Genomic DNA, 2,807 nt, shown 5'->3' on the forward strand with positions numbered 1-2,807 from the left:
CTGGGTGGGCTTTGATCATGGGTGGCTAAAATGGAGTGAAAGTAAAGTTGAAAGTATAGTTGAGGAGGTCAAATAATTTAAGTTAGGTGCTCAGAGTGTTTCTACTTCCAGTAAGATGGAGTAGACATAATTTTCCCTAGTCCTCTTCCAAAGTACAACTAAAAAACCATATATATATCATACATATATATACACCATATATATCTATATATACATCATATCTATATCTATCTATCTATATCTATATCTATATCTATATATTAAAGACTGAAATGAGAAAACAGAAAGCTGACCAGATAGGCATCTTGAGACTGGAGAAATGAAATGGTAGTGAATTCCCTGGATTTTCTTTTTGTCTCACATATGGCAGACTTGGAGTGGAAGAAGCCAGTCAAAACAGTAATGGGCATAGACAAAAAACAAAACAAAACAAAACAAAAGCACCCATAAAATCTGCTCTCTTTAGCCAAAGGACCAGGAAAGAGACAGTTTAGCAAGACAGAAGACTTTTACACCATAACCAGTTGACTACAGCCAAACACCACAAAATAACTGTGGTCCACCATGACCAGCAAAGGCCATGTGGAGAGCCTGTATTTCCACACTTACCAGGCTATAATGAAGCATTCCACCTTTTTGCTAGGGTAGTGTCAGAGAAGACAGTTGAGTCCTGGGACTTTCGCCCTTGTGGGTGGTAACTAGTCCTCCTGTGCTCTCCATCCCCCAGGATATGGGTTGAGACTACATAGGGAGTATGGACTGAGATTTCGTGGCTGCAGTGACAAGGCCTCCCTCCCTCTCCCCATTGGGATGGTGTGAGAGGAAGTCTAGGAGTACTTAAGAGTATCCCCACTGGATTGTCAAAGGAGGCCAAGTGGAGAACTTGAACTTCAACCCTCCCCTGGCAGTCATGAGGCAGCACTCCAAACCCCATGTTCTGTAGAAGCAGTGTCATAGGAAGCCAGCTAAAACAGAAGGTTGACTATATAACACACTTATTGTTAACTATAGTCAACCTTATATTTAAGTATTTGTAGCAAAATATCACTGTATTATATGTGATATACTTTTATACAACTGGCATCACAATAGGTTTGTGTGCACCAGCATTGCCACCAACATGTGAGTAATGCTTTGTGCTACAATGTTATGACAGCTACAACATTACTAGGTGATAGGAATTTTTCAGCTCCATTATAATCTTATGGGACCACTGTTGAATATGCAGTCCATCATTGACAAAAACATTGTATATATAGCACATGGCTGTATGTACAATTTTTCTTTATCAATTATATCTCAATAAAGCTGGGAAAAACTTTAAAATACATTTAAGAAACAAAGTTAAAGTAATAAATAAGGAGTCAGAAATAAAGGTGTCAGCAGAGCCATGCTCCCTGTGAAGTCTCTAGGGAAGAATCCTTCCATGTCTTTTCCTAGCTTCTGGTGGCTTTTTGATCCTTGGCATTCCTTGGCCTGTAGCTGCATCACTCCAATCTCTGCTTCCATCATTACATGCCTTTCTTCCCCCGTGTGTATCTGTGTGTCTTCTTCTTATAAGGACATTAGTCATTGGATTTAGAGAGCCTACTAATATAAATGTAACTAATTATACCTGCAAAGACCCTATTTCCAAATAAGGTCACATTTTAAGGTTCCAGGTGAATATAAACCTCAAAGTTAATGAAATAAGACAATCAAGAGATGGCAACAGGTATAAGACAGATATGTTAGAATTATTTGACAAAGATTTTAAAGCATTGTAAAAATGCTCCAATGAGCAATTATAAAAACACTTAAAAATGAAAAAATAGAAAATCTCAGCAAAGAAAAAGAATATATAGGAAGAATCAAATAAAATTTCCAGAACAGGAGGATACAACAATTGAAATAAAAAGCTCAGTGGATGAGCTGAACAGGAAAGTAGAAAGTACAGGAGGAAAGAATCAGTAAATGGAAGATGACTAGAAATTACCGATCTAAACAACAGAAAGAAAATACACTGAAAATAATGAACAGAGCCTTAGGCACCTGTGGGACAATAACAAAAGGTCTAACATTCATATCATCAGAATGTTTTGGTAGGGAGAAGAGAGGAGAAAGGAGACAGGGCTGAAAAAAGTACTCAGAAATAATGGCTGAAAAGTTCCCAAATTTGGGGAAAGACACAAACCTATAGATTCAGAAAGGTGAGAAAATCCCAAGCATAAAACCCCTCTGCAAAGCACATGACAGGCAAGTTTCTGAAAACTGAAGACAAAGAAAAAAGTCTTGAAAGCAGCAAAGAGAAATGACACCTTACCTTTAGGGAAAAACCAATTTCAATTACAGTGGATTTCTCATCAGAAACTATGTAGCACAACATTTTTTAAGTGCTGAAAGAAAAAAAAAATTATCAACTTAGAATTCTATAACTAGGAGAAATATCCTTCAGGCATAAAAGCAAAATCGAGACATTCTCAGATGAAAGAAGACTAAGAGAATCTGTTACCAGCAGACCTACCAAAAAGAATGGCTAAAGGAAGCCTTTTAAACATCAGAAGGAAGAAACAACCTGGTAAGCAAAAATATGGGTAAATATAATAGACTTTCTTTCTCCTCTTGAGTTTTCTAAATTATGTTTTACCATAGAAGCAAAAATGATAACATTGTCTGATATGGTTCTAAATATATGTACAGGAAATAACTAAAGATAATTTTTTAAAGAGCTGGGTAAAGAGACATAAAGGGAGATTTACAGTTCACTTAAACTGGTAAAACAATTGCATCAGTAGACTGTGATAAGTTATGTAAACATAGTGTAATAC

Source organism: Homo sapiens, chromosome 6, assembly GCF_000001405.40.
Source record: "Homo sapiens chromosome 6, GRCh38.p14 Primary Assembly".
NCBI lineage: Eukaryota > Metazoa > Chordata > Mammalia > Primates > Hominidae > Homo > Homo sapiens.